Raw genomic sequence first — 3,204 nt, 5'->3', positions numbered from 1 at the left:
CTAGGCACATTGTCATCATGAGTGAAATCTGGGTTTTGTTAAAAACAGAAGTAAAGGGGAGGGGTTAAGCAAGCAAAAAACAGTGCCAGCCACACCTTCAATTTATTATTAATACTGAGAGGTGAGGCCAGCTGGACTTCCTGGGTGGAGTGGGGACTTGGGGATCTTTCCTGTCTTACAAGAGGATTGTAAAACGCACCAATCAGTGCTCTGTAAAATGCACCAATCAGCAGTCAGTAAAACGCACCAATCAGTGCTCTGTAAAATGCACCAATCAGCACTCTGTAAAATGCACCAATCAGCGCTCTATAAAATGCACCAATTAGCAGGATTCTAAAAGTAGCCAATCATGGGGAGGATTGAAAAAAGGGCACTCTGATAGGACAGAAACAGAACATAGGAGGGGACAATAAGGGAATAAAAGCTGGCCACCCCAGCCTGCAGCGACAACTCTCGTGGGTCCCCTTCCATGCTGTGGAAGCTTTGTCCTTTTGCTCTTCACAATAAACCTTGCTACCGCTCACTCTTTGGGTCTGTGCCATCTTTAAGAGCTGTAACACTCACCGTGAAGGTCCACGGCTCCATTCTTTAAGTCAGCAAGACCATGAATCCACCAACAGGAGCCAACTCTGGACACATTACCACACCTCTACTTGAAAAGACTCATTCTGTTGTTCATGCTTACATTTATTCAGTGGACACTTATTACACACCTACTAAGTCATAGGCACTGGGGACAAAAAAATGAACAAATTCCATAAGTCGGAATCTAATGTGAGGAGACAAATATGTAAAGAAAATCCATCAAACCCAATATAACAGGGGCTGGGAGAAGGGATGAATGGAGAGTTATTGTTCAATGGGCACAGAGTTTCAGTTTTGCAAGATGAAAAGGTTCTATGTTGCGGGAAGTCAGGGACCCCGAATGGAGGGACCGGTTGAAGCCGCGGCAGAAGAGCATAAATTGTGAAGATTTCACGGACATTTATTAGTTCCCCAAATTAACACTTTTATAATTTCTTACGCTTGTCTTTACTGCAATCTCTGAACATAAATTGTGAAGATTTCATGGACATTTATCACTTCCCCAATCAATACTCTTATAATTTCCTATGCCTGCCTTTACTTTAATCTCTTAATCCTGTCATCTTTGTAAGCTGAGGATGTATGTTGCCTCAGGACCCTGTGATGATTGTGTTATCTGTACAAATTGTTTGTAAAACATTGTGTTTGAACAATATGAAATCTGGGCATCCTAAAAAAGAACAGAATAACAGCGATTTTCAGGGAACAAGGGAGATAACCATAAGGTCTGACTGCCTGCGGGGCCTGGCAGAACAGAGTCATATTTCTCTTCTTGCAGAAAGCAAATAGGAGAAATATCGCTGAATTCTTTTCCCAGCAAGGAATAACCCTGGGAAAGGAATGCATTCCCAGAGGGAGATCTCTAAAATGGCCGCTCTGGGACTGTCTGTCTTATGCAGTTGAAGATAAGGGATGAAATACACCCTGGTCTCCTGCAGCGCCCTCAGGCTTGCTAGGATTAGGAAATTCCAGCCTGGCGAATTCTAGTCAGACCAGTTGTCAGCTCTCGAACTCTGTTTCCTGTTAAGATGTTTATCAATGACAATGCGTGCCCAGCAGGACATGGAACCTCATCAGTAATTCTAATTTCACCCTGGCCTTGTGATCTTGCTCTGCCTGTCTGCCCTTGTGATCTTTTATTGCCCTTTCAAAGCATGTGATCTTTGTGACTTACTCCCTGTTCATACCCCCCTCCGCTTTTGAAATCCCTAATAAAAACTTGCTGGTTTTGCGGCTCAAGGGGCATCACGGAACCTGCCGACATGTGATGTCACCTCCAGAGGCCCAGCTGTAAAATTTCTCTCTTTTGTAGTCTTTCTCTTTATTTCTCACTCTGGCCGATACTTAGGGAAAAATAGAAAAGAACCTACCTTGAAATACTGGGGTCTGGTTGTCCCGATAGTTCTAGAGATCTGTTTAATGTGAATGTAGTTAACACTACAGAACTGTACACTTAAAAATGGTTAAGATAGGCCAGGCACAGTGGCTCATGCCCGTAATCCCAGCACTTTGGGAGGCCAAGGCAGACAGATCACCTGAGGTCAGGAGTTCGAAGCCAGTCTAGCCAGCATGGTGAAACCCCACCTCTACTAAAAAAATACAAAAATTAGCCTGGCATGATGGCAGGTGCCTGTAATCCCAGCTACTCGGGAGGCTGAGGCAGGAGAATTGCTTGAACCCGGGAGGGAGAGGTTGTGCAAGCCAATATCACGCCACTGCACTCCAGCCTGGGCAAAAGAGCAAGACTCTGTCTCAAAAAAAAAAAAAAAGGTTAAGATAACTTTCATGTTGTGTATTTTTTACCTAATTTATAAAATAAAACAAAAAACTAATATGCTAGGTCCTAATCAAGGACTAAGACTAAAGAGCCTGTGGGAGAACAGAGGATAGTTTTCATTTATTGAAATCTCTGGAAGCAGATAATCTCTGCCCAGCTTATCAGTAACTATCTGTCTTTGTTCTTTAATTTAACCCTCTACAACCTAATCTGGGGACACTTACCTTGCTTAGACTGTGATAAACAAATGGCAAACAAGCAGTTGCTTCATTCTGGGACAGCCAGATGACACCTTCATGGGAATGAAATCAGCAGACCAGAGAGCCAGAAAGAGACCTTGGAACTTAGAAGGCTTAAAAAAGCTTTGAGTTATTAAGCCCAAGCCTTTCTTCCCATCCTCTGTGTAAACAGGCCAGTAACCCACTAACAAACCTACTCTTAAAACTGCATATATTTAAGGCTTTTCTTAGCCTTCATTTCAGCAAGCTAAACAATCTCACCTCCTTTAACCTTTCATGTAAGATTTATTTTTTTTTAGTTATTTTTTTCCTTGAACTTCTCTAATTTCATACTCATGTTAAAAATGAAATTATTGGCTGGGCATAGTGGCTCACACCTGTAATCCCAGCACTTTGGGAGGCCGAGGCAGGCAGATCACCTGAGGTCGGGAGTTCAAGACCAGCCTGACCAACATGGAGAAACCCCATCTCTACGAAAAATACAAAATTAGCTGGGCGTGGTGGTGCATGACTGTAATCCCAGCTACTTGGGAGGCTGAGGCAGGAGAATCACTTGAACCCAGGAGGCAGAGGTTGCGGTGAGCTGAGATTGTGCCATTGCAC

At 43.4% G+C, this 3,204-nt stretch overlaps 1 annotated feature.

Moving 5' to 3' along the window:
* Window positions 1,321-2,520: an enhancer, noted in NCBI's record as "BRD4-independent group 4 enhancer chr2:40016715-40017914 (GRCh37/hg19 assembly coordinates)". NCBI's record gives its function as "activates an origin of replication core promoter dependent on BRD2, P300/CBP, MED14 and CDK7 cofactors, and independent of BRD4, by STARR-seq in HCT116 cells {active_cell/tissue: HCT116}" and the evidence as "EXISTENCE:reporter gene assay evidence [ECO:0000049][PMID:35650434]".

The sequence above is a fragment of the Homo sapiens genome, chromosome 2 (assembly GCF_000001405.40).
Source record: "Homo sapiens chromosome 2, GRCh38.p14 Primary Assembly".
Classification (NCBI taxonomy): Eukaryota; Metazoa; Chordata; class Mammalia; order Primates; family Hominidae; genus Homo; species Homo sapiens.
The sequence above is the reverse complement of the archived record's forward strand: the minus strand, read 5'-3'. Positions and strand labels throughout refer to the sequence as shown.